The sequence below is a fragment of the Homo sapiens genome, chromosome 18 (genome assembly GCF_000001405.40).
Source record: "Homo sapiens chromosome 18, GRCh38.p14 Primary Assembly".
In the NCBI taxonomy this organism is placed as follows: Eukaryota; Metazoa; Chordata; class Mammalia; order Primates; family Hominidae; genus Homo; species Homo sapiens.
The window spans coordinates 24,425,734-24,453,690 of record NC_000018.10 but is presented as its reverse complement, the minus strand read 5'-3'; the positions used below and the strand labels follow the sequence as shown (position 1 = coordinate 24,453,690).

Genomic DNA, 27,957 nt, shown 5'->3' with positions numbered 1-27,957 from the left:
AAGAAATAATCAAAGATACATACAAAAATCTGCAAATGATGTAGGTTTTCACAGTTGTTTATAACAGTGAAAAGTTGAAAAAAACTTAAAAATTGGAAATAAGTGGAGGACTAGTTAGTATAATACTGAGAAGACAGAATACAATGCAGTCATAAGACATTTAAGCCATAGAAGAATATTTATTGACATGGAAAATGTTAACAATATACTTCTATATGAAATATGTAGGCTACAAAACAGTATATACAGTTTAATACCATTTTTATGGAAAGAAAAATAACCATATATACAAAATCATGCATAAGAAAAAAATAATATAAGGATGTACATACCAAATATTAATAATAATGGCTATCTCTGGATAGTGGAATCAGAGGGATTATGTAATTTTCCCGATAAATTTTCCTGTCCTCCAAACAGCATCCGCTTCATACTATTATTTCTTGGTTGTAATTAGTTTGATATAATTCTCTTCAGAAAGGCTCTGTTTCACTATATATACCTCAAAGCATACTTTTGATGCAGCTTCTGCAATTCCCATCTAAAAAGTAGATAACACTTGCTCTTATATTCTGGCATATGAAGACTATTTGTAATTAACACACTATAAAATATGTCAAAGCAGGCCAGGCATGGTGGCTCACACCTGTAATTCCAAAACCTTGGCAGGAAGATCGATTGAGGCCAGGAGCTCAAGACGAGCCTGGGCAACATAGAAAGACCCTATCTTTACAAAAAAAACTTTAAAAATTAGCCAGGTGTAATAGCACATGCCTGTCTGTAATCCCAGCTACTTGGCAGGCTGGAAGGTCAAGGCTGCAGTGAGCCATGATCATGCCACTGCACTCCAGCCTAGGTGACAGAGCAAGAACTCATCTCTAAAAAAAAATTTTTAAATAAAGCAAAATATGCCACAGCATAGATCTGATTGTAGAAAATTATTATATGGAGAACTGAAAAATCTCCTAATCAAGACAAAAATTTTAAATAGAGGAAAAAAATACTATCTATCATTAGTTCAAGTTTCCATTAAGAGTAGAGTGTGAAGTAGCTCCAAGTTCAGAGCTGGAGAATTTTGCATCTCTCCCTCTTACCAGCCAATTGACTTTAGGTAAAGAATACTAGAGTTTTTTAGTTAGTAAAATATAGTTAATAATTCTGTATAAAGGAGCAAAAGTAAGTTTCTCATTGTTTCCTATCTCCCTTCATAGGTTTGACATGTTGAAATTGTGAAATTATTTAATGTTAATAGTTTTTAACTTCTTTAATTATGTAAAATAATTAATTTTTAAATTATTTTAACAGTTAAAACACAAAGCATACTTTTCATGGAACCAAGTGTTCCAAACACAAAAAGGTCATTCTCTGATGGCTCCTGATAACATACAACATAAAATATAGTTATAACAAATATAATTTAGAATTTATATTTCAGAATCCATCCTGGTGTAAAGCTATTTACTATAACCTTACTAAAAATACCAACGGTAAGGATGTTGGATCTTTTAAAGGTAAAACATCAGAGAAAAGAGAAAAAGACCTGTTTGTCCAATTCTCTGTGCTTTCCATGCTCTAGCACCATCCCAAAGTTGCCTCCTAACTTCTGTTCCCTCCCTGGGAAGGGAAGTCCAGGCAAATCTGTGATCAGTTAATAACTTTTAACAATTGTTTGCCATTACATCTGAAAGTGAACAGTTAATCACTTATTGTTATATCTCAAAGGTAAATTTCACTATCTAAATGCCTAGAGGTAACTGGAAGATGAAAGATACATAAAGGTTTGATGAATAGAGGGGAAAAAATGGGGGGGAGGGTTGTTTCTGTTTTTCCAATGAAAAGGTTTGCTCCTTCTCTCTGCAAAATCTTGGAACTGAGAAAGCCGTCTGGAGTGCAGATGGAAAGCATGCATCAAATTGATGTAACTACACAACATACTCCTGCCCTACACCAGGTTCATTCTGCCACCTCTATCCCACTCTACGAATGTCCCATTTGCCACAGCCTAACTTCTATCATAGTTCTAATTCCTCAGTGAAGATCACAAGAAAGGTACTTCCAGGTTGTTAAAAGAAACGAGAATGTTACACCAACACATTTCTGGGGTGGAAGGAGACTACTGACACTCCATATTTATTGCTTACATTACAAGAATTAAACAAAAAAAGCAGACTAGAAAATCACTTTCTGTAATTTCACAATCACCAATTTGCAACAGAAACTGAAGCATAATATTTATGCTAACAAATATGTTGGATGAATTATCACCTCAGCACATAACTGCAGATGGATACTCCTGGATTTTCACTTAATCCATTACTCAATGATGAACACTATAAAATGAAAGGTGACATACTTATGAACTAAAATCACAAGAAGAAACTCTCCAAGATCAATCTTAAATGAGCTCCTATTCCAATAAGCCATAAAGAGCAGTAAAAGGCAATATTCATTTAACAGTACAAGAATCTCGATGACAAGAAATCAGGTATTTATATTCCTCTAGAGACATTTCTTCTCCACCTAACAAAGGCACTTGACATGTACTGAAATGGACAGTTAATTCAGGTACTGCCCTGGGCAACTGTTACCTTGCTAAAATTAGATGAAGTGGTGATTAAGTTCAAATTAGTTCTCCCAAATAAGCCTGAAACACACATGAATAGATCATAAGTTCTCTATTTTTGGCAGATGATATAACCAAGAAGAAAAGCTAATGTTGGTATCCATGCTGAACTGGCTGACTTAAGCAGTCAAGGATACTCTCTCTGCACAATATATTCCTTGATGACTATGGAATGTATATATAATTATAGGCAAATTAACCTTTCCTATAGTTTCAGGTATTAATGTTCATTCCTCTTCTTGTCTTTTCTTACTTTTTTGTTCTTTCCCAAAGCCTTAGATGACTCCTCCTGAAAAAGACACAAATCAGTGCAGCATCTCTCCATTTACATAAAGATGAAATCTTCAATCTAATCACTTAGAATATATTTACACATATATATTCCACATATATTCATACATATATGTATGTATGTATATATGTTACAGTGAGGGTATAATCACTTTTATATGTGTCATTTCTGTGTTTTAAAGGGTACTTTCACTTATAGGCTAATATTTTTTAAACAATCAAGAATAATCAAGGAAACCTTATTTATCTAGTGGATTTATGTTTGAATAATTTCAAAATTATTTCATCTATTGCCCCACTTTCCCAAGGCAGTAAAATTTAAATAAGGCAGATATGAACATACCTAAAATATAAAACAAAATAAACTCAAAGTATAAAGGAAGAAAGCATCTAAAGGTATGCCAGTGAAGGGGGAGATGTTTTGACACTAACAGAGAATTTCAGAATTTTCTAGATGTTTAAAGAACATCTAGTCTGATGTGATATCAGCTACAACCACTCTGGGGCTCAATTTTAGGGATGGAACCTAGTTGGTCTTAAAAGGTTTTTCTAATTATAAAATTCTATGAACCTATGAAATCAAGGTGCGAAGGGATGAAGTGGTCTGTCCTATGAAATCAAGGTGCGAAGGGATTAAGTGATCGGTCCAAAGTCACGTGACTGGCCAGACACACTGTTTAGAGTCTAGGTCTCCAGGTTCTGAGTCCAAAGGTTTTACCAATTCACCACTCACATTCTGATTCATTCTTAATTTTCTGTCTTTTTAAAAAATTCCCAGGCAGTGATGAGAAATTCTCTAGATGTAGTACGAAGAGCCACTTACAGGTGAATTTGTGTAGTTCTTTTCCACTAGTATGTTTCTGGCACAGTTGTTGATATGTTTAAAGCGATCTGGTCCTAGCAGAATCCCTCCATACCAGCGTGATACTACCACCATGACATTCTTCACATTCAAAATCTGTTATTTTTTGGAAGCATAATTAGATACATAGACAGACATGTATAAATATGAGTTTTAAAAAAGGAGAATGAAATAACCCATGTATAAAATTGCACATAAAATTTCCCAGTGACTTTAATGGTAGAGCCATATGAGTGAGTAGGCACTGAGTGAGATTACTAACAATTCAGGGAGTGAAATGGAAGAACAGAAGGGAATCTGGAAAACCATCACTGTGTTTCACAATGTCCTCAAACTCCCAGATTTGGGGCAACTGGACAGAGTGAAGGGGAGACCATGCAAGTAGGATTCTAGCACCTGGTGACTTCAACCAGAACAGCTAAGTTTAGGCAGCATTTTACCACTAGGCCAAATAACAACAAAAAAAACCCTGCTTCTGAACAAAGCTACAGGGGCTGCACGAGGCATCAATATCCCTGGTGCTATTAGTAAGGTTTCATCAGTTGAGATCTAGATCAGTCTCACTCTGTCACCCAGGCTACAGTGCAGTGGCACAATCTTGGCTCACTGCAACCTCTGCCTCCTGGGCTCAAGTGATCCTCCCACCCCAGCCTCCCAAGTAGCTGGGACCTACAGGTGCATGCACCACCATGCCCAGCTAATTTTTGTGTTTTTTTAGTAGAGACAGGGTTTCACCATGTTGCCCAGGCTGGTTTCGAACTCCTGGGCTCAAGTGATCTCCCCGCCTCAGCTTCCCAAAGTGCTAGGGTTACAGGTGTGAGCCACCATACCTGGCCGTCTTCATCAGTTTGACATTTGTCAAATGCTGCCCTTAATGTGAAGCCCACCAGTTTACAGGCCTGACCCACAAACACAGTTACTATTCAAGGGAAAGGCCTTGTTAGAAAATAAACCTTCACATACAAGAGCAGAAAAAACCAGGTAACTACCTTAGGAAAAAAATAATCCAATCCTAAAATTAATGAACAATAAATGATCACCAGACAGATGAAGAAAATCCAGCAGCATGAAAGAGAAAGGACAAGATAAACAAACAAAAATGGACCAGGAAAAATTTTTTTAGGGGTGAGAACATCTTAAAAAAGAAACTCTAATTAATATAATCAGAGAAATTTTAGAAGATATTGGAGCCATAAAACAGAACAGGATATTCTTAAAAAGGAAAAACAGAAAACAAGAAAGAACTCTTAAAAATTAAATATATGGCTGCTAAACAAAATTTCAAATTCAACAGAAATTTTGGACAACAGTCAAGAAAATGTCTCAGAATATAAAGACAATGAGATGGACAACTCAATTTAAAAAAAAAAAATTCTGGATCTATCCAGAAGTTCCAATATCCAACTAACCGGAGTTCCATAAAGAAAGAATAGAAAAAATAAAGAGAAGGAAATTGTCAAAAAAACAAAGTGTTTTCCCAAAGTTGAAGACAATCTTCTATTGTCTATGTCTTGAAAGCATAGCACTTCTTATTAATTATTTGCTTTCTGTCCCACATCCACTGGTTAAAATTTTCATTCAATCAATATTTTAACATCAACTACTAATTAAATCAAATATATCTTATGTTACATAGTTCAACTGACTTAGCTATTACTAAATGGAGCTCTGTTTTGTTGAGAAATTTTATGGCTTGTACAGAACAGGATTGATAGTTTAACTTACACCTACCTCCATGAGATGAAGAAGACGCCCACCAGCTGCTGTTTCCCCATCATCCTCACAATCCTGTAAGAAGGTCTGTTTATCCTCACAATATATTCTGCAAATACATGTAAGAGTATTACACTTTGAAACTAAAATATTATAATAAAACTTATTCCTCAACATTTGTGATCATTTTGATTACTTCCAAAATCAGCATATTCATTTTTTTAAATCCTTCCTGAAATATGTATTATATTAGATATATTTTCACTGACGGTTTACTATCCAGTATGTTTGCCTTTTTATATACTTGGGAAAGCTAGGAATCAAAGGCATCTCCTTTATATCAGAAATGTTGCTATTATGGGAAGGTGAATTTATCCATGTGACATTCCCCTTACTTCATTTAACCTTGAAGTAACAAGAGCAATCATTGAAAAACATTTATTGAGAATATACTGTATAAAAGCAACAGGTACTAAGACATATTATAAAGGAAGTAAGTGGCATGCATCTGTCTTCAAAGAGCCTTAAGATGTAGTGAAACAAAAAGCATATAAAAAAAAGATGAAGGCAACAAAACCAACATAAGGTAATATTTTATACTTTCCTCTCATCTTATTCCAGCCATCAAGCATTTCTCTATTTTCTTCTAAGAATGTAAAGATTTAAATTTTCCTCTGGATGGTTACTAATATTAGAGACAAATCGTGGTATTTTTATCCATTTAAACTAGAAAGCTATATCTGAAATAATAATGTAGGCCTACAATACAGTAAAATAAGCTTGGCAAATAAGTGCTAGAGAGAGAAAAAAAAAATAGTGTCAGTTACAGTATGCCATCTGGTGGATTTCTTAGGGCCCTACCAATGGTATCATGTGGAACTGGGTAAATGTAGTAAAGACATCCTCCCAGCTCTGGCCATAAAAAGCTGTAAACTTTTAATGTAAATACTAAAAGCTATAAAAGCTCATCTACACACCTAAGTCAGTTATGTTACCTTACAGCAGTCACATTCATTCATTCACTCATCCTTCCTTCCCTTCATCCATCCATCCACTCAATAAATATTTACTGACCATCTACTATGAACATTAAAGTTAAAATACTATGAGTACTTTTTTCTTTTTTTACATAGCTTAGATACAAGATTGTTGAAGCTGTAGCCACAGCCATAGAGGAGTGAAATAAAGAAAACAAATGAAATTGGATTATCAAATTCAGCTCCATCACTTAACTATGGGATCTTGAAAAAGCTAACCTTTTTACAGTGCTAGAATTGCTAACTAATAAGAGTTAATTTACATAAAGTTTTGGCACAGAGTAGGCACTCAAAAAACATGTAGAATAAATGAACATTACAATTTTTACAGCCCATTTTAATGACTGAGAGTAGTCTAATTCCTCATTTTCCTATTGAAGGCCATAACTGCTTAAGAAAACATTAAAATTCTATCCAGTGATACTCTATTAAGAGGGGAATTACATAACAAATAATTGTTTGTAAGTTTTGGCACTTAAAGAGATGTGAAATTAGTAATATTAAGAACTCACCTACTCAAAATGATGAATTTTTGAGTTTCAGTTTCAGATAGCCTAGATTCTACAAATAGTCTCAATCACATTTTAAATTTACACCAAGTCCCTGTGTTCTGATTTATTTTAGGCCTAAACTATGTACTTTTAAAGTCTTACAAATTTGCGTATTTTTTCAAATGCCCTTCATCTCTTCACTTACAAATCAGCAAAGATGCATATAAAAACCTGAATTCTCAAAACTGAAACTCATGTAGTAAAAGAAATACTCTTAATTCACTGCTTACAGGAGCATAAATTGGTTTTAAAAACATTTGGGCTCACACCTGTAAATCCTAACACTTTGGGAGGCCAAGGTTGGCAGATCACTTGAACTCAGGAGTTTGAGGCCAGCCTGGGCAACATGGCAGAACCCTGTCACTACAAAAAAATACAAAAATTATGCCGGGCATGGTGGCTCGCACCTACAGTCCCAGTTAACGTGGGAGGCTGAGGTGGGAGGATTGCTTGGGCCAAGATCACGCCCCTGTACTCCAGCCTGGGCAACAGGGTTTTTGAGACCCTGTCTCAAAAACCAAACCAAAATAAAACAAAACCTTTGCAAGAAATTTGGCTATATATCAAGAGTTTCAAAATTGTTCACACTTTTTGATAATTCTACTTCTAAGAATTCTTTCTTCCTTTTATTATATTCCCATTTCATTTCAAAAAAGAATCTCAAGCAACCAGAACCTATCCTGAGGAAATAACCTAAAAAGTATACAAAGATGTTCCCTGGACCACTCTTTATAATGGTGAAAAACATGAAAAACTAAAAGGAAATGGTTAATTGTAGTATGGCATCTCAAATATTTTACAGCCATTAAACAGTATTTATCAAGCAGTTATAACAATATGAAAAAGTGCTTTTGTTTAATTAAGAAAAAAACAGGATACAAGGGTAAATAAAGCATTGGGAAAAATTAAACTTTGCAGAGAAAAAAATGAAACAAAAAACAAAATATTGTCAGTTACATTTGATGGCAGAAAATGCCAGATTTTTCCCTTCAATTCTTTTTTATCTTTTCTGCAGTTTCCAAATATTCCATGTCTATTACTATTACAATGGAAAAAATACACAATAGTTATTATTTTCTAAAATCATGCATCATTTCCCTCTATTTTTAACAAACTGAGTATACTAAAGCTTGTGATGATTACTCACCTGTAGGCATAGATGTTGTGGGTGGCACTAGCTATTTTCTTATTCTCATACAATTTGGAAAGAACCATTTTCACCTTAAAAACAGCAATAATATAAATAAGTATGCTTTTTATATTTGCTCTGTAAATAAATGCTAGAAAAATACCTTGAAGCATGCTGTATTAAAATAAATAGTCACTTAAAGAGTCTACTATACTCTGAAAAAGTCATTTCCAAAGTTTCCTTCTCATTTTAGGGGCAGAGACTGGTACTCATAATTGGTATAAAAATGACAGACCTGGTATTTTTGAGCACTAATTATCAACAAATATTTCGGTACTACTATGTCAAAGGGAAAGTTTGTTCCCCATGTAGGGAATTTTAAATGTATCATATAAAACTTCTAAAAACTAGCTCTGAAATTTACCAAATGTATACATCCAATGTAGCAGGTGTACAATAGTGGTATGTTCCAAATGTTATAAAACCACATCTTTCTCTGGGAGTCAAGTAAGGTTCATAGAGGAGGTCACATGAGCCAGGTCTTATAAGTGGCAGTTCTCCTGCATCAAAAGGAAAGATGGGGCAGGAAGAAGACATTCCACACAGAGAATAGGGCTATATGCAAAATACAGGGACTGGGTGACCAAATTTAGCAAATAAAAGTACAGGACATCCAGTTAAATTTGAATTTCAGATAAACGACAAGTAATTTTTCTACTATAAGTACATCCCATGCAATAATGTTTACCTGAAATTCAAATTTAACTAGGTATTCTGTATTTTATCTGGCAACCTTAGTGGGAACAAAAAAGAGAAAAGTTCAGGAAGCTTTACACAGCTTAACTTAGAGTATGAATGAGATGACAGAAGATGTGTCATGAATGATAAGCTAGGGCCATATTACAAAGGATCTGTGTAATAAGTTTAGATCTTCCCTTGTAGACATTGGAAATCAGCAAAGATTACATGTGTGAAGGTGGATAAGAGAGAGAACAGAATGACACATGGTCAGATTTTTCAGGGATGTTGTAATGGCAAGAAGTATGGAAGAAATATTGGTGGCAGGGAAGACTGAGCTAGAGTTGGGGACACCAATTTGGATCACAAATTGTGCAATCTTCTGTTTATCATTTTATAATCTTTCAGGTTCTCAAATTCTGATCAATAAAATAGACAATGACCTCTAAAACTTGTTTCAGCTCTCACAAATTATAATGCTATAAATCTAAGTGACTGTGATCAGAAACAGAAAGAGGATCCAGAATAAACAGATTCAGAATTAGAATGTCTCAGGAGGACCCTGGGAAGAAGATGTGACTAAGGGCCAGGGACAAAATAGGATTCCTGAGAGAAAAGACCAGAAGTCTGCACCAAAAGTTATGATCTTGACCACAAGTCAACGCAGAAAAGAACTTCCTCTTTCAGAGAGTGAAACAGCCTGGTACAAAGAGCTGTATCCCTGAAGCCCAGGGCTTTAAAGAGCTTCAAGAGTAGGGTAGCTGCAAAGACCAAAGGAAGAGACTCATGCCTAAAACCTGCAGTAAATGAGACATTTTTAAAAATGTAACTTTACAGGTAGTATTGAAATTGCCTCGTACATCAATAATGTAAGCTGAGCTACATTATAGAAGCAAGGAAGAAGAAAAGGATTCTGCTGAAAGGAGAATGAGAAAGGCAAAGACCTAGGAATAGTTTATGGCTGAAACCTCTCCCATTTATATCCCTGGGTGGAAATATGGTCACCTAAGATCAAGAAGCACAAAGGAAAGTAAGTCAGGTAGGGAGGACTTGGTTTAGCCAGTCTGTCCACTGTCCCCTTTGTTGAATAATAACAGAGGAATGGACTTAGTTTCACAGAACTCCCATTCGACAGGACAAATAATTCTTTTTGACAAGGTATTAAGCATCATAATTTTCTCTAATAACACAATGGGTATTTCTTATTTAAAGATTCATTAGAGGGTTAACCCCTAATCAGAGTTTAGATACAATTTTGAAAGCAGTGACAGGCCTGGCTAGGTGGCTTATGCCTGTAATCCCAATACCTTGGATTGGGAGGGCTGGAGGCAGGAGGGCTGATTGAGTCCAGATTGAGACCAGCCTGGGCAACATGGTGAGACACCATCACAAAAAAAAAGAAAGAAAGCAGAGACAAACAGAAACAAAACAAATCTTCCGTGATTCACAGTAATTTGGGAGTAGAAAAATGAACAAATAATTTTTATCTTATATGAAAATAAAACATAAAAGTAAAAACAAGGGGATTATTGCAAAATCATTTACCTGAATTATTTTAGTAATCATCAAAGTGAGCTAGACAAAGGAACTTTACCTGTTTGGGACAAACCACTGGAGCCAAGTGTGCCTGAAAAGTACTTCTTCGGTCTGTAATAGGAATGCCATGATCAATCGGAGGTAATTCTTCTACTTCTACTTCTAGAAATGTAAAAGAAACTTTATTTTTTAAAAAGCCTTACATTCAAATACTGAAAAAAATGAAATGGGGGGGCAGCTGGGAAAGAAATGTAAATTACATGGCAAATCAACTAAAATAACCATTAATCGCTATCTACCAAAATTAAATTTAAATTATAATTTTAAGTAAAAAGTTTCTAACTATATTGTACATAAGATTAAAATACTTGATTTATAAATGATTTCCACCTGCCAAGGTTACCCAGGGGAAGCAGTGGGTTGGGACTAATCTTGAACTGCTGCAGTCAGTAGTGTAAGTTGGTACAATATCTAATATATAATTTTTAAGAGTGTAAAGGAGTCCTGAAACCAAAGATTTATAGCTGCTAATATAAAATTTATTTATCAGTTTCACTGTTGTTAGACCTCTGAGTTGGGAAAACTATGAATTTATATTCTTTATATTGTGTAGCTATAATATAATGCCTTCTGCTAATGAAACTGTTTCTACTTCATATGATGGAATTAAATACATCAATAATACATCCAATTGGTATTCCTTAAAGAGCATCATGATTTCCAGTTATTATACCTCTTAAAACAAGTTTAAGGATCATGGCTGGGCGTGGTGGCTCACGCCTGCAATCCCAACCCTTTGGGAGGCCGAGGGAGTGGATCACCTGAGTTCAGGAGTTTGAGACCAGCCTGGCCAACATGGTGAAACCCCCGTCTCTACTAAAATACAAAAATTAGCTGGGCATGGTGGCGTGTGCCTGTAATTCCAGCTACTCGGGAGGCTGAGGCAGGAAAATTGCTTGAACCTGGGAGGCGGAGGTTGCAGTGAGCCGAGTTTGTGCCATTGAACTCCAGCCTGGGCAACAGAGCAAGACTCCATCTCCAAAAAAAAAAAAAAAAAAAAGAATCACTAATTAACCCTCAATTCTGTTGAGAGACTTAATCGTCCTGGCTACTACTACCTGCCTCACTTAGGATGAAAAGTTATTCAAGACAAGAAAGTAGGTTTATGTAAGATGTTTTACACCTTCCCTCTGATACTGTTCTTTTCCTGAATTGATTTTGACTGCTGTACTAACATAGTAATAAGTCAAATACAGTATTAGGGTCAATATGAACTACTGACCAATTGATAGTATTTATTTATGAGTATGATTTTTATCCTTTTTCTTTTCATGGTAGATCCTGTTTTCAAAAGATATCATATGTCAAATCCACACACAAATAAATGATTAAAATGGGAGCTACTTAGGCTAGAGCATAAATGAGAGCCCTGGATGCTCCCCACTCTTTCATTTCCTCTTTGTTCCCTTCTACTAGTCCTGGACACCATTCAAAAGCCTTAAAACTCAGAGCACCTTTTAAAAGCTACTGTGTAATGACACAGGAAACCCCTCACCTTCAAACAGAATGAATATTCCCCCTGGTCTACCATGTTTTCCTAAGAGGCTTAGGGAAACTAACAATAACATTCAAAATTTTAAAATATTAAAATGAAACATAATATCACAGCAACCTATTTTTATGTTGAATACTACTCGATTACGAAACAAATTTGTTTAAACGAAAACTAGGCCGGGCGTGGTGGCTCACGCCTATAATAATCCCAGCACTCTGGGAGGATGAGGTGGGTAGGTCATTTGAGGTCAGCCTGGCCAACATGGCGAAACCCAATCTCTACTAAAAATACAAAAATTAGACAGGCATGGTGGCATGTGCCAGTAATCCCAGATACGTAGGAGGCTGAGGCAGGAGAATCACTGAACTTGGGAGGCAAGGTTGCATTGAACTGAGATCGTGCCACTGCACTCCAGCCCGGGCAACAGAGCAAGACTCTATCTCAAAAAAACAAACAAACAAACAAAAACTGAACTCAAGCTGGGCACAATGGTGCATGCTTGTAGTCCCAGCTACTCGGAGGCTGAGGTAGAAGGATCACTTGAGCCCAGGAGTTCAAGGTCAACTTGGGCAACACAGCGAGACCTTGTCTCTCAAAAAAAACCTCTTAAAGGCATTTTACTAGCTTTAATTTCCAGGGCTGCACTTTCAGTTAATATATTTGTATTTGTGAGCACAGACTAAAATTTAATCCTGAAACATCAGGAAACAGCTAAGGATTTCAATACAGAAATATAAAAACATGATGTTAACTAAAAACGTTAATAGCCTTTCTTAGTTTCAATTTCTTCCATCACTAAATCAAAACTCTAGAAAGTAGGGGGAAAAGAGTAAATTTCCATTTTTTCCTTGCCATTCTGATAAGACTTGGCAAACACCAAAATTGCCAACAGGCAGGAAAAAATTAATCTTATCTGCAAATTAATAACTCCTTCCTAAAACTGGAGAAAATTAGTAAATTTCTCTATCATCTCAAAGAACAATACATAATACTACCAACCCACTCTCCTCAAAAGAAATTAGTTAGTAACATTATACCTGTCCGAGTTTCACTGATATCAAAATCCAATGCTTTAAGCGAACTTTCCGGCTGACATGCTAAAATGAGATCATCTTCACATTCAACATCTTCCTCTTCAGTTTTCTTCTTTACATCTGGGCCTATGTGAATATGAGACACAATTACTTTATGACGCAGGTAAGAAACGATGCTTTTTAAAAAAAAATCACTGGGTCTTGGGTTCTAAATACCACTCTTCAACGAAAGGAACCAGCACTCAGCCCGTAGGAGAACTGGTTGATTCCTGAGTTGGAGCAAGGAAACTACAAGATGAACCTGGAACCTCATGTGGATCCACAAACTGGGAAATGCTCAAAAAGAGATGGGGCTTATAAAAAGAACACAGGAGTTAACCTGAAGGGGCTCTTAAAGGTCAAAGCTAGAACAATTTGAGCAACAAAAAAATATGATAGGATGGCATTTTAACCCATGGACTGAAATAATATACATGAGTCCATACTGATATAAATAATAAACAGATAAATAAATACATAAATGGGAAGAGACATCCCTTCCTCATAATAGAATTCCAATTACTAAATGAGGAAGGAATGAAGAAAATAGAAAATCATCATCAGGCAAACACCACAGTAATAAATATTGTTGACAAGTTCCATGGATAGATACTAAAATTAGTGGCAGAAAGTTTAAGGAGAAACAGGATATTAGCATAGCTTCAAAGTATCTCCCTCAAGCTACAAAGAGAAAGACAGTGACTGCAATGGTTAATCTTACATGTCAACTTGTCTAGGCCACAGTACCCATATATTTGTTTACTTTTGTTTGACACAGAGTCTCATTCCGTCACCCAAGCTGGAGTGCAGTGGCACCATCTCAGCTCGCTGCAACCTCCGCCTCCCAGGTTCAAGTGATTCTCCTGCCTCAGCCTCCCAAGTAGCTGCAATTACAGGTGCGTACCACCACGCCTGGCTAATTCTTTTTTTTTTTTTTTTTTTTTTTGAGCCGGAGTCTCGCTCTGTCGCCCAGGCTGGAGTGCAGTGGCGCGATCTCGGCTCACTGCAGGCTCCGCCTCCCGGGTTCACGCCATTCTCCTGCCTCAGCCTCCCGAGTAGCTGGGACTACAGGCACCCGCCACCGCGCCCGGCTAATTTTTTGTATTTTTAGTACAGACGGGGTTTCATCGTGTTAGCCAGAATGGTTTCGATCTCCTGACCTCGTGATCCGCCCGCCTCGGCCTCCCAACGTGCTGGGTAATTCTTGTATTTTTAGTAGAGACGGGGTTTCACCATGTTGGCCAGGCTGGTCCTGAACTCCTGACCTTAGGTGATCCACCCACCTCGGCCTCCCAAAGTGCTGGGATTATAGGTGCAAGCCACTGTGCCCAGCCTCAATACCCATATATTTGGTTAAACACTATTTTAGATTTTTCTCTGAAGGTATTTTTTGGATGAGATTAACAATTAAGTCAGTTGAATTTGAGTAAAGCAGACTGTCTTCCATATGGGCCTCATCCAATCAGCTGATGGCCTTAACATTAAAAGACTGACCTCCCCAGAAGAGGACATTTTTCCAGCAGACCATCTTTGTTTTCAAACCGCAACATTCATTCTTCCCTGGGTCCCCAGCCTGCCAGCCTATCCTGCAAATTTTGGACTTGCCACCTTCCACAACTGTATAAGCCAATTTCTTAAAATATATTTCTCTCTCTTTGTGTGTGGGTACATACACACATGTATATACACACATATATTCAATTGGTTCTGTTTCTCTGGAGAACCCTGACTACAGCATTTACAGTGGAGACATTTGGCGAACACCACCGTAACCGAGACATCAAGGTAAATATCACCAATAATAAGGCATATGATACAATAGGCACAGTGACTCACACCTGTAATCCAAGCACTTTGGGAGATCAAGGCAGGAGGATCACTTGAGCTTAGGAGTTTGAGATCAGCCTGGGCAACATAGGGAGACCTCGTCTGTAGAAAAAATTTTAAAAGTAGCTGGGAGTACACCACCACTCCCAGCTACTAATCTCACTCCAATCATGAGAAAACAATGGACAAACCCAAATTGAGGGGCATTCTACAAAATAACTATCAGTAGTCTTCATAAGTGTCAAGGTTATAAGTCAAGGAAACACTGAACAACTGTTTACAGACTAAAGGAGAGTAAAGAGAAACAACAATGGAAAGCAATGTAGAATCCTAGACAAGACCCTAGACAGAATGGGACAGCCCAAGGTTTCATAACATTTTCAGAATGGCACACAATTTAAAACTTATGAATTATTTCTGGAAATTTCCATTTAATATTTTCAGACAACAGGTGACCACAGGTAACTGAAACCATGGAAAGCCAAATCTCAGATGAGGAGGAATACTGTAATACAAAATCAAAGAGGCTAAACCTTATAGAAATAAATAACTATAATTACATGAGCAATTAAACTTTTCAGAGAAACTTGTATTTTATAATATACAAACCATAAACCAGAATACAGATTTTCACATTAAATTTCAACTAGAGTATCTACATAAAAATGTAGTTATTATAAGTTAAAAGAGTATTGATAGTATTTTTCAATCCTACCTGGTTCTGTCATCTGAGATTTTTGTATAAGAACATCTCTTATTTTCTCCACCCACAGGTAAAGAATACTTTCACCGATATTCTGACTAAACAAAATTCAGGGGAAAAAAAAAATTGTTATTTCAAAAATCATCTTCTCAAATTCAAGAAGATACAGACATTTGCAATCCAAGACATTATAAACAATCTAACCATTTCTTTTTTAAAATAATTTATAAAAACCTGGGGTTTATCAACATTTGTGTCTGAGTAGTTAATACAGGTTATAGCAACGTTAAAAATTCCAGTTGACTCCAAAATTAACATGGCTTACTTTAAAATAAGCAGAAGAGCTGTAACCAAAGAGGGGAATAAACATTTCCAAACTAGATGGATTAAAGAAATATAAATGTGACTTAGTTTCTGTAAGTGGATACAATCTTTCAGTATCGATGTCTGATCACTGCTTGCTTTTTTAAAGTTTTTTAAGAATTTCAAACCCCTTATTTGGTACACTTATCATTTAGTATACTTATCTCAACAAGAAAGAATGTAAAGCATATGGGAAACTCCTTCAGGGAGTCAATTTACAAGACCTAAAAGACAATTCAACAATTTTATATTCATATCTTGTTTCTGACAAAACATTCTATTGCCTAAATTGATTCATTTTGGTTCCAAATGATGTTTGGTTGCCTCAGGTAACTAAATCCATCTCAAAGGATCACTGAGAAAAAGAATGTGTCACAGGTTTTAAAGTCATGTCCATAGTTATGTTAAATGATGGTAGCAGCAATAAAATAAAGGCCCAAGTGTCTGCTCTTTAGAAAAAGACACTAATTGTAGTAAGTATGGTATGTGTTTAAAGATATCACCACACTACTATATAGCAACACCTCACCTCCTTCCTCTAAAAGTTTCCCTTGAAACCATTATCTCTCTTTATCACTACTCATCAGCACCCACCAAAACTTTCGAAACAAGAGACAGAAGAAAACAACATTGTTTTTAAATAATTCTATACCCTCAAATCCTCCCCATCACACCCACAATTCCTAGTACTAAAACTAAATACTTGTATTGGTTGATATAACAGTAAAGCTATTCACTAAAATGCACTAAGCTGTGTGAAGTTAAACTAATCACTTGATCTGAGTTTCTGTCACCTAATTTTCAATATTATAAGCTGGATGAGAAGATTTTTGAAATAAGAACATCCCAGAGCCGGGCGTGGTGTAATCAAAACACTTTGGTGGGCCGGGGTGGGCAGATCACTTGAGCTCAAGAGTTCGAGACCAGCCTGGGCAACTTGGCAAAACCCCATCTCTACAAAAAAAATACAAAAATTAGCCAGATGTGGTGGTGCGTGCCTGTAATACCAGCTACTCAGGAAGCTGAGGTGGGAGGATTGCTTGAACCTGGGAGGTGGAGGTTGCAGTGAGTGGAGATCGTGCCACTGCACTCCAGCCTGGGCAACAGAAAAAGACCCCTTCTCAAAACAAAAACAAAAACAAAACAAAAAAAAACAGGCCAGATGTGGCAGCTCACACCTGTAATCTCAGCACCGTAGGAGGATAGCTTAAAACCAAGAGTTTGAGACCAGCCTGAGCAACAAAGCGAGACTCCGTTTCTGTAAGAAATTAAAAAACTTAGCCAGGCACAGTGGTGTGTGCCTGTAATCTCAGCTACTTAGGAGGCTGAGGTGGGAGGATCACTTGAACCTGGAAGTTTGGAGGCTGAAGTGAGCTATGATTGCACCACTGCACTCCAGCCTGGGCGACACAGCAAGACTTCATCTCAAAAAAATAAAAAAATAAAATTTTTAAAGAACAAAAAAATGATAGCTGCTAGTTTAATGCTTACAATATTATCCCCTTTTTACAGATGAGAAAACAGACACAAAGAGATGACACTATTTAAAAAACTGACTCCAAAAGCCTGACTGAAACAGCCTTAACCTCAGCTCGACTAAACTTTATATGGGCCCATTCCTGACTCTAGGCCCTTACCTCCCTTTTCTTAGAGCATTTTCTTCAGAAAACTTGTCATTGTAAATTCCTTCTCCATCTCTTTGAGATATATGTAAATCTTTTTACAGAAAACTTTAATTGGTTTTACAACCCAGGAAATGTCTTTCTCAAGGACCTGGAAACCATCCCTTTGAAACACAGCATCAAAGAAGACACTGCCCTTATCTTCCAGTCTCTGTGGGAGAATAGGAGGCTAACTTCAACGGGTACCTATTAGTAAACACAGATGGCCTACTCACAAAGAGAAATATTTGCAAACTCAACAATAACTCAATATGCCCAACACACCCGATTAACTGCCCCACATAATATCTTTCAGTATTTTTCCACTAGCTCATCCTGGCCCTTAAAAACCCTTCTGCCTTTTGTTTCAGAGGAGTTGAGTTCACACTTAGTTCTGGCCTCCTTCCCCTATTGCAGCGGCCTTGAATACAGTCTTCCTTGTCTGTTTGACTTTATCCAGTGTAATTTTTGATTCAAGAAGCCTCACTCACCAACATTAAAACCTAACATGCCATGATACATCGAAATGTGAAGAGATGTAGAAAATTTCAAAAATTATTTTCTCAGATTTCTAAATTAAATATTGCTATAATAGAGCATCACAAAGTCAAATACTATAAAAAACTTGTAATCCTTTTCATTTTCTCTTAAACAGTATCATATTCTAAGTATTTTAAGTGTATTTACTTTTTGTTTTATCAAAAGTTATTTTCATTTATTCAAAATATTCACATGCAAAATATTTAAATAAAAATTAAGGACTGGGCACAGTAGCATATGCCTGTAATTTCAACATTTTGATATGCAGAGACAGATAGATCACTTGAGGCCAGGAATTTCAGACAAGTCTGGGCAACGTAGCAAGACCCCTTCTTTACAAAAAAATACAAAAATTAGCCAGTGGTGGCACACCTATAAACCCAGATACTCAGGAGGCTAAGGTGGGAGGATCACTTGGGCCCAGGAGGTCAAGGCTACAGTGAACCATGATCATGCCACTGCACTCCAGCCTGGGTAACAGAGATAGACCCCACCTCAGAAAAAAAAAAAAGTAGGTACAACAACTAAATATACATCTAATTAATCACCAAATCCTAGCTTTTATATATATATATACACACACATATATATACACATATATATACACATATATATACACATATATATACACATATATATACACACATATATATACACTTATATAATACACATATATATACACACACACACACATATATATATATATATATATTTTTTTTTTTTTTGAGACAGAGTTTTGCTCTTGTTGCCCAGGCTGGAGTGCAATGGCACGATCTCAGCTCACCGCAACCTCTGCCTCCCGGGTTCAGGCGATTCTCCTGCCTCAGCCTCCCAAGTAGCTGGGATTACAGGTATGCACCACCACATTCAGCTAATTTTGTAGAGATGGGGTTTCTCCATATTGGTCAGGCTGGTTTCGAACTCCTGACCTCAGGTGATCCGCCTGCCTCAGCCTCCCAAAGTGCTGGGATTACAGGCATGAGCCACTGCGCCTGGCCAATATATTTTTAAGTATTTCTTTAACTGACCTTCTTCTCCATTCATATTCTTTTTGCCTTAATAAAGGCCTCCACTATATCCCTCCTGAGTTACTGACTGCTCTTCTAAAGAGCCCCTTCCCTTCTTCACAGGCTTACTTTTTATATATTTATTTTTGAGACAGAGTCTCACTCTATCACCCAGACTGGAGTGAAGTGACTGAACCTCGACCTCCTGGACTCCAGTGATCCTTCCACCTCAGTCTTCCAAGTAGCTGGGATTACAGGCACGCCCCATCACACCCAGTTAATTTTTATGTTTTTAATTTCTATAGAGATGGGGAAGGTCTCACTATGTTGCCCAGGCTGGTCTCAAACTTCTAGCTTCAAGCAATCCTCCCACATAGGCTTCCCAAAATGCTGGGATTACAGACAAAAGCTACCACACCTGGCCCATGTTTAATTTTTAAAAACCTGTATTTCCCCCTTGCTGCCCTCTGCTGGAATTATATGGAAAATATGATTAAAAGTTGTCACAAAAGGCCAGGCGTGGTGGCTCACGCCTGTAATCCCAGCACTTTGGGAGGCCGAGGCAGGCGGATCACTTGAGGTCAGAAGTTCAAGACCAGCCTGGCCAAAATGCTGAAACCCCGTCTCTACTAAAAATACAAAAATTAGCCAGGCGTAGTGGTGCACACCTGTAATCCCAGCTACTCAGGAGGCTGAGGTACAAGAATTGCTTGAACCTGGGAGGCGGAGGTTGCAGTGAGCTGAAATTGCACCACTGCACTCCAGCCTGGGCAACAGAGCAAGACTCGGTCTCAGAAAAAAAAAAAAAAAAAAAAATGCTGTCACACAAAAGTTTTAAAAATAAAGCCAGGTGTGGTGTATGTGCCTGTAGTCCCAGCTACTCAGGAGGCTGAGAGGCAGGAGGATCACTTGAGGCTTGAGCACAGGAGTTCAAGGCCAGCTTGGGCAACACAGTGAAGTCCTATTTAAAAAAAAAAAAAGTTGGCCGGGCGCGGTGGCTCACGCCTGTAATCCCAGCACTTTGGGAGGCCGAGGCGGGTGGATCATGAGGTCAGGAGATCGAGACCATCCTGGCTAACAAGGTGAAACCCCGTCTCTACTAAAAATACAAAAAATTAGCCGGGCGCGGTGGCGGGCGCCTGTAGTCCCAGCTACTCGGGAGGCTGAGGCAGGAGAATGGCGTGAACCCGGGAGGCAGAGCTTGCAGTGAGCCGAGATTGCGCCACTGCAGTCCGCAGTCCGGCCTGGGCGACAGAGCGAGACTCCGTCTCAAAAAAAAAAAAAAAAAAAAAAAAAAGTTTTAAAAGTAAGATGTGTATTTCTATTTAGACTACATGTGTGAAAATAATACCACTGGACCAAGGTTATTCGAGCGCATTAAATAAACAAGACCCCATATTCCACCATTAGAACAAACTATATTGTAATCTCTGACACTTCGTAAGTTTCAAATAGCTCAAGTGAACTAGTTAAAGAGAAAAGGAAAGTTGCGTCCTGTGGGAAGGTATCTTTTAGTAAAAGGAGGACTTTTGGGATAGGGGATAGGCAGGTGAAGAGCCACTTCTAAGTGTATGACATTGTACATGGGTAAGAAAAAACGCTAACTGATGAATGTGATTAACATGATGGAAGCAGTGTGGAAAGATTTTCAAGGAGGAGGAAGTGGTCAATACCACCAAAAGTTAGGTAAGAGCTGAAAAATGGCCACTAGATGAACAATTCTGGTGTTAATGGTGAACAAATCCACAGTATACTGATCTTATTCTACTGGGGGATCGGGGGGGCAGATAAATTGGCAAATATGAGAGGATTATAGAAAGAAGTTTGTTGGGGGCACAAAAGTTGGAGTGGCCAGTAATGTTAGGGAGAGATATCAGAAAACATTTAATTAATGAAATACTTATACTTCCGCCAAGGATGACGGAATCACTAAATGGGGACCCAAGGAAGACCATACTTGCTCTAGGCAGGAATAAGCAGAATGGATTCCACAACAACTCACCATTTTCTAATTAAGTATTTTGGGAGGAAAAGAAACCTGGCCTGGATCCCAGGGACACAAAGAGGGACTGTCACTGTACCAAATGGAGTGGCCACCTAGAACATATAATACAGTCCTTACTAGATCCTGGATTACAGTAAAACTGATATTCCAGAACATTATTTGTTTTACTAAATTATTTCATTAAAATTAATCTAAATCATAGATATTTCCTCTCTAGACAACTGCATTAGCCCCCTAACTGATGTCCCACATCTACTCTTGCTACCTTCCAAACACTACTTCAAACAGAAAATAGAATGATCTTTTTTAAATGAAAATATTATCATGGCCAGGCACAGTGGCTTAAACCTGTATCTCTGCACCTTGGGAGGCCAAGGCAGGAGAACTGCTTGAGGCCAGGAGTTTGAGACCAGCCTGGACAACAAACCAAGGCTCCATCAGTACAAAAAAATAATTTTTAAAAAAATTAGCTGAAGGCAGAGCATGGTAGCTCACACCTGTAATCCCAGCACTTTGGGAGGCCAAGGTGGGTGGATCATTTAAGGTCAGGAGTTCGAGACCAGCCTGGCCAACATGGTGAAACTCCGCCTCTACTAAAAATACAAACATTGGCTGTGCGTGGTGGCGGGCGCCTGTAGTCCCATCTACTCAGGAGGCTGAGGCTGGAGAACTGCTTGAACCTGAGGGGCAGGGGTTGCAGTGAGCCAAGATCATGCCACTGCACTCCAGCCTGGGCAACAGAGTGAGCTTCCATCTCAAAAAAATTTTAAAAAAAATTTTAATTAAAAAAATTAAAATTAGCTGGGCACGGTGGCACGTATCTATAGTCCCAGCTACCCGGGAGACTGAGGTGGGAGAAATTACTTGAGCCTGGGATGTCAAGACTGCAGTGAGTCACTACTGTGCCACTGCACTCCAGCCTGGGCAAGAGAGCAAGAACCTGTCTCAAAAAAAAGAAAATCTTATCATGGCACCCTACTACTTAAAACCCTTCTCTGCTTCCAGCTATTCTTAGTATAAAGACAGAATCTTCAACATAACCTACAAAACTCTGCAGGATCTGTCTTGTCTACCTCTCCAGGTCCTTTTCCTACCATATTCCCTCCATCTCATCCTGTCTCTTACCACTGCATATCACCATTACTGTTTCCTGTAATGTGCCAAGCTCCCCAACACCAAGCCCTGTGCTGTGGCCTCTCACTGGAATTATCATCCCCTAATTAACTCCACTTTTAAGTCAAACAAGCCATCCCTCACCTCCGAGACTATGTCAGGTCTTGTTTCAAACTCAATTAGTTTTGCATATCTTCCTTTCATAGAACTTACCACAGCTATTGTTATATTCATTTTTACAATATTATAAGTAATATCTCTGCCACACCATAAATTCTAACTGCCATGAAAAAGGGCACTTCTGTTCATGCTAGCCATACCTGCACCCAGGATCTAGTACAGTGCCTGCCATGTAATATTTATTGAATGAAGGAATGAATGAAGAATATAGCCCATCAATAGATTCTGAGTCTTATGGCCTAATACAAGGGAAATTACCATTCAAAGTACATAGACATTTAAGAAATAATTATGCTTAGGATTCTGTAATCAATTTCATTCTACATAGCCTATGAAAATACCAAATCAAGAGCAGTATCTCTGAATTTACTTTGACAAGTTGGCTAAGTGTTTTTGTTTTTTTCATTAAGATCCTTTTAGCAAATAACTTTTTTTTAATTTATTGAGATTGAGATGGGGGTCTCACTGTATTTCCCAGGCTAGTCTCAAACTCCTGGGTTCAAGCAATCCTCCCATCTCAACCTCCTGAATAGCTGGGATTACAAGCCTATGCCTAAGTGTTTTTTACAGTTGTTAGCTCTAAATATTACTGTATTTTTGTATCTAAGTAGAAGCTATCAAATGTATATATAAAATTATATAACTAACCTTTCGAGGTCTCTTCAAGTGAGTCCTTTTTGTTAAAGCAGAAGTAGCTTTAAAAAGTTTAGAGAGGTTCTAACAAAGGGTTCACAGGTTCAACAAAAGCCCACAATACAATCACTAACAGAATTATTTTAAAAAATCGCCTGTCACTTACATATATATTTCCTCAAGGCTATTTGATAAATCCGCACGTTCTTGCCCTTTAAGCCAAGGAGCACTAAGATTAAATAAAACAATTAAGAAGATTATTCAAGGATTATGTTTATACCTCAAATTACAGATTACATCACAAATAAATTTTTTTGGCTTTAAAAAATTATTTTCATAAATGGTCTTATATTTGTATAAATCTATATAGTTGCAAAATGCTTTCATTAGCATTAATTCATTCAGCCTTCCCAAGAAACCATGACAAAAACAAAACCCACACCAAAATTACCCTGTTTTAATGGTTTAAAAATTGGCCAGGCGTGGTGGCTCATGCCTGTAATCCCAGCACTTTGGGAGGCCGAGGCGGGCAGATCACGAGGTCAGGAGATCAAGACCATCCTGGCTAACATGGCGAAACCCCGTCTCTACTAAAAATACAAAAAATTAGCTGGGTGTGGTGGCGGGCACCTGTAGTCCCAGCTATTTGGGAGGCTGAGGCAGGAAAATGGTGTGAACCCGGGAGGCGGAGCTTGCAGTTAGTCAAGCACGCCACTGCACTCCAGCCTAGGAGACAGAGCAGGACTCTGTCTCAAAAAAAAAAAAAAATTTCTTAAAAGGACATTTATGTTTATAAGAATTCTATATCTATCATTTGCAATAAATAAAAATAAAAATTTACAGAACCATTATTAACAGTAAGCATTAATGCCATGGTTTTAAAATATGTGCACAAAAAAAACTAATAGGTACAAATTCTAGTAATTGAGTTTGTTTGTTTTTTAAGGCTAATTAAGTGAAGCAGTGGGAGTGAAGAAGAAACAAAGAAATCTAACCAGTTGTGATCAATTACTGGTTATAAACCAATCACTGGTCTACAATCAGACCGGCCTAGTAACTGAGATTTTTATGCAATTCTGTTCCCAAGGGTTTATACATATTACTAGGTGATGGGGCCAAGGTAGATGAAATATCACTTGCATCAACAGGTCATGGCTCATAAAGATTAAGCTCGGGCTGCTAAGAAGATGGTTCGTCAACATCAACGGGGAAAGGGGCAGGGAGAAACACCAGAAGCATCATAAGTAACTCCTGGAAGGCAGGCAGTCTTACAGGTACATCAAGGAACTGTGGCTAGGTCAGGAGATCTAGGTTAGGAGTAACTCTAAGGGCCAAGGTTGCTAGATTACTAGGCTAAAGAGGAAGGTTTCCTTCCTCATCTCTAAAGACAATTCTGTACCTACTTCACCTCTACGAACCTTGTGATTCTCTTTTATACTAAGTGGCATATTTTATTGTTTTATAGAATTTAATTTTTATTTAAATGCTCTATACCAAACCCAAAAGGTATTTTTAATTTCTATATACATGTTAATAAGAAAGGTATTTTATGTAAACGCAAAGTACAGTATAAACATCTTTCAGAATAGAATCTTTTTATAGCAATATAAACGTAGAAATACAGCTTACTTCAACTGGTAGATAGGTGGAGCTGTACCTGGGTATTCATTCGGCAGCATCACCTACAATGCAGGTTCAAAAACATCTGTTTACACTTCATCAAGGTTCAAAAGTAACCATATTTATAAAGCTAGCAACTGGACAAAAAAGGCAAGGAGGACAGAGATGAAAGGAAAAGGAAAACTGAAATATGGACATTATACCCTGACCCCAAGTGGATGAAGTGGCATTATAATATTTTCTGGGTACTTTTCAGAAGAAATACTACAAAAATCCTAGGAAACACCATTAACTATATGAAATAGCTAACATATAATAGAGAACCATACATACTTCTTTTCAAATCAGTATTATAAAAACAAACACTGGCAAAAACTGTTTTGCATCCTTTATGTTGAAAGTACATACAAGCAGTCATCAAAGATTAAGCACTAAGAAAAGCCATAGCTGACCTTTTCATTTATTTTATCCTAACTACAACTGATCATTGATCATTGATTCTCAATTAATAAAGAAATGACTGTCTCCTCTACGAGTCATCTACATTACTAACCTCTCTTTCCTTTTAAATGTTAGCCATCTTTCCAGGTTTGGACCCTCTCCTACCAGATGAAGAGAATAATGAAGGGAAGCAAAACTACAGTCTCTCAAGGGTACATTAACACTTTTAAATGATTAAAAGCATTGGATTAGAAAGACTGGAACTATCAATTAATGTATGATTTGAAAGTGATCTGAGATGTAACTGCCCATGTGTTTAATCATTGAGAAAAGCCAAGAACAAAGATAATTTAGAAAACAACACAATCATTAGAATACAGAAGTCAACAATATAGTTCATACTGTAACTGAAAGATGGCTGCAAGGAAGGGGGAAAAAGTACCTGCAAGCAAAGTGTCCATTTGGGGTCATCTATATCGTCGCTAATTCTAATACAAAATATTTTGGCACAGTCATCAATGACACACCACTCCTCGCCATAAATGGCTGCCATTGCTTCAATTTCCTCATTCTGAAAGAAATTGATTTTTTAAAAGTCAACAAATGTACACATCTTAAAATCCTATTCTTACTACTTTATAAGGTATTCAAATTCAACATTACCAGAGTAGATCAAAAATTCCTAGATGAGCCTCACCAGGCCAAGAGTTTCTTAAGAGCAGGTCACCATGTTCTGCTCTCTGGGTGGTTGCTAGGCGCTACTGCAATGACTGGAGCCAGCCTTGCTACTGCATTACTGTGCTTTTGGCCACTATTGAGTCAAAATATAATATATATGCACTCCCATACTTTGTAGTGACCATTCACACGTGAAAAGATAAACCTATCTTCTCTGTTCCACCTTCTCTTTTTTAACAGGTAATCTCCACCCCTGACTCCCACCCCCAATAGCTCTGCCCCACATTATCTGTGTACTCCTGCTGGGTGTCTCACTGGTTCCTTCGTATTAAATTTTGTGTTGGGGGGAGGTGGGGAGGGGGTACACAAGGACTAGATGGGTGGGTGGTTGCTTGGTAATCAAACCCTTAAAACGTTTCATAAATTATTCTTTGGGCTTGGGGTTAAAAAAGAAAAATAACTGGAGGACCTAAAGGGAAAAGATGGGAAGCAAAGTATCCATTCGACTTCGTAGCATTTCATTTTGTACTCACAGCCCTGTAGGAAAAGACTTATGATCGCCCACGTGAACAAGGCACAGGGAAAGCTCGATGCCAAGGACCAGAAGGAGTGAGATTCGGTGGGCTCTCGGGACCTGCAGGGTCTGGGCTATTGCCATTTTGCAAAGGGGGAAACCCGAATTCTTAAGTGATTTGTCCAAGATGACTCGGCGGCGGCAGGGTGGGGATCGAAACCCCGGTTTTTGCCTTCGGCCCAGAGCTGCTTAGTCGCGTGTTAATGGTTGACGAGGACACCGTCCGAGACAGGCCGAGACCGCGGCCGCCGAGGAGCCGCCGGCCTAAGAGCGCTCGGCCGACGGGAAGCGCCGGGAAAATGGAACGCGGTGGAGCAAATGGCGTGGCCAGTGCTGGCGGAACCCGGGGCGGCCCCAGGCGGAGGGCCCCTCGGCTGAGGAGGACTGGCATGGCGAGGCGAGCCGGAGCCGAGCCTGGAGAGACAGCACCCCGCCGGGGCCTCACCTGCCTCTGGTCGCTCCCTGCGTCCCCCTCAGCCATGTGGCCCCTGGACCTGCCCTGCAGCCGCCGCCTGCCAGGTCCGGAGCGCGGGGGCGGGGCGCTGCGGCTGCGAGCCGAGAGCTGGCTGCGGCGCGGCCCGACCCGGAACCACAACCCTGCCACGCCGCGCCGCCGGCATCTGCTTCCGGGTGGCGGGCCGAAGGGTGTAAAGGGCTCCTGGCCCCCGGGTTTGGGGTGGGGTTCTCGGTTGGGGCCTTGCTCCCGCCTTCACTGTCTCCCGTAGGGCGGAGACCCAGGGAAAGCCGACCCTCGCGAGTTGCAGCCAGAGGCCCTCACGGCTCTGTCTCCTAGGAATGCGCCGGGGCGGGGGGCTTTTGCTTGCCCATTGCGGCCTTGGCGCCATCGGAATGGCCAGGAGACTTTAGGGAGTCATTTACCACCGCGTCCCGGGAAGGGACTCAAACCTCAGTCCACAGTCCCAGACTCGTCTTTACATTCCTAGGGAGAGTTTTTGTGTGTTTGTTTGTCTGTTTTTAACATGTTTTAAGTTTTGTCGGATTTTGGCAAAGATAGGTTTGATTTACCAAAACTGGAGAACAGAGAAGGCAGGCGGTAATTTTGAAAGCGTGAGGGGGAACCTTATTCTCCCATTCACTGTTGTATTGCGATCGTTTTCTTTAGTCTCGAATATTTTGGGGGCAACTTTTGTGCCAGTCACTAGTTATGCCAGTCAACATAAGGAGCATTGATTCATTTTCCCAAAAAAATGAATCAGTTTGTCATTACTCCCTCGCCCACAAGTTCAATGACATTCTAATACATTGGTTATGAATTATATCAACCACCTTATTCGAGACGCCTCAGTCAAGACATCTCTTGATTGCAAGGCATCCTTGCTTGCTTCACTTTTCGTCACACATAATATACAAAAACTCAAAATATTACATCTTTCTCCCTTAATCATGGGTATTTTTCTGCCCCTCTTTAAAACCGTTGTCTTAAGATAAATCATTGTAGAGAAAAATAAAACTCTTCTCAAGAGTTAGGAGTTCAACACCTGTA

General features: G+C 38.6%; 1 protein-coding gene across 1 annotated transcript, besides 7 other annotated features; it reads right to left on the bottom strand.

Annotated features, from left to right (window-relative positions):
* Positions 1-159: 159 nt before the first annotated feature.
* Positions 160-27,021, bottom strand: IMPACT (impact RWD domain protein). The gene is made up of 11 exons (NM_018439.4): positions 26,899-27,021; positions 25,644-25,772; positions 24,770-24,822; positions 23,307-23,369; positions 15,651-15,736; positions 13,073-13,195; positions 10,539-10,642; positions 8,225-8,298; positions 5,508-5,598; positions 3,738-3,872; positions 160-2,912 (listed from the first exon to the last, which is right to left on the bottom strand). The coding sequence occupies exons 1-11, from the start codon at positions 26,932-26,934 to the stop codon at positions 2,844-2,846; spliced, it is 963 nt and encodes a 320-aa protein (NP_060909.2). The 5' UTR covers positions 26,935-27,021; the 3' UTR covers positions 160-2,843.
* Positions 9,520-9,720: a silencer, noted in NCBI's record as "peak3074 fragment used in MPRA reporter construct". NCBI's record gives its function as "represses an SCP1 promoter by STARR-seq MPRAs in K562 erythroleukemia cells {active_cell/tissue: K562}" and the evidence as "EXISTENCE:reporter gene assay evidence [ECO:0000049][PMID:32103011]".
* Positions 26,128-27,042: an enhancer, noted in NCBI's record as "NANOG-H3K27ac-H3K4me1 hESC enhancer chr18:22006613-22007527 (GRCh37/hg19 assembly coordinates)". NCBI's record gives its function as "activates a minimal SCP1, AML or CMV promoter by ChIP-STARR-seq in primed H9 embryonic stem cells {active_cell/tissue: H9 hESC(primed)}" and the evidence as "EXISTENCE:reporter gene assay evidence [ECO:0000049][PMID:30033119]".
* Positions 26,128-27,097: a biological region, named in NCBI's record as "NANOG-H3K27ac-H3K4me1 hESC enhancer GRCh37_chr18:22006613-22007527".
* Positions 26,718-26,905: a silencer, noted in NCBI's record as "fragment chr18:22006750-22006937 (GRCh37/hg19 assembly coordinates)". NCBI's record gives its function as "represses an EF-1alpha promoter that drives an FKBP-Casp9 reporter gene in an ReSE screen in both phorbol 12-myristate 13-acetate-treated (for megakaryocytic differentiation) and untreated K562 erythroleukemia cells {active_cell/tissue: K562 | K562(+PMA)}" and the evidence as "EXISTENCE:reporter gene assay evidence [ECO:0000049][PMID:32094911]".
* Positions 26,758-26,847: a silencer, noted in NCBI's record as "silent region_9366". NCBI's record gives its function as "represses an Ori minimal core promoter by ATAC-STARR-seq in GM12878 lymphoblastoid cells {active_cell/tissue: GM12878}" and the evidence as "EXISTENCE:reporter gene assay evidence [ECO:0000049][PMID:35858748]".
* Positions 26,878-27,097: a silencer, noted in NCBI's record as "silent region_9365". NCBI's record gives its function as "represses an Ori minimal core promoter by ATAC-STARR-seq in GM12878 lymphoblastoid cells {active_cell/tissue: GM12878}" and the evidence as "EXISTENCE:reporter gene assay evidence [ECO:0000049][PMID:35858748]".
* Positions 27,043-27,957: an enhancer, noted in NCBI's record as "NANOG-H3K27ac-H3K4me1 hESC enhancer chr18:22005698-22006612 (GRCh37/hg19 assembly coordinates)". NCBI's record gives its function as "activates a minimal SCP1, AML or CMV promoter by ChIP-STARR-seq in primed H9 embryonic stem cells {active_cell/tissue: H9 hESC(primed)}" and the evidence as "EXISTENCE:reporter gene assay evidence [ECO:0000049][PMID:30033119]".

What these genes read in the sequence shown, in the direction of transcription:
- IMPACT (NM_018439.4), bottom strand. Translation starts at nt 26,934, where the DNA reads ATGGCTGAGGGGGACGCAGGGAGCGACCAGAGGCAG. An exon ending in AGCCTTGAGGAAATATATAT is followed by an intron (nt 15,737 to 23,306) that starts GTAAGTGACAGG and finishes AATTTTGTTTAG; the next exon opens with TCAGAATATCGGTGAAAGTA. An exon ending in GTCTTCTTCATCTCATGGAG is followed by an intron (nt 3,873 to 5,507) that starts GTAGGTGTAAGT and finishes AAAAAATAACAG; the next exon opens with ATTTTGAATGTGAAGAATGT.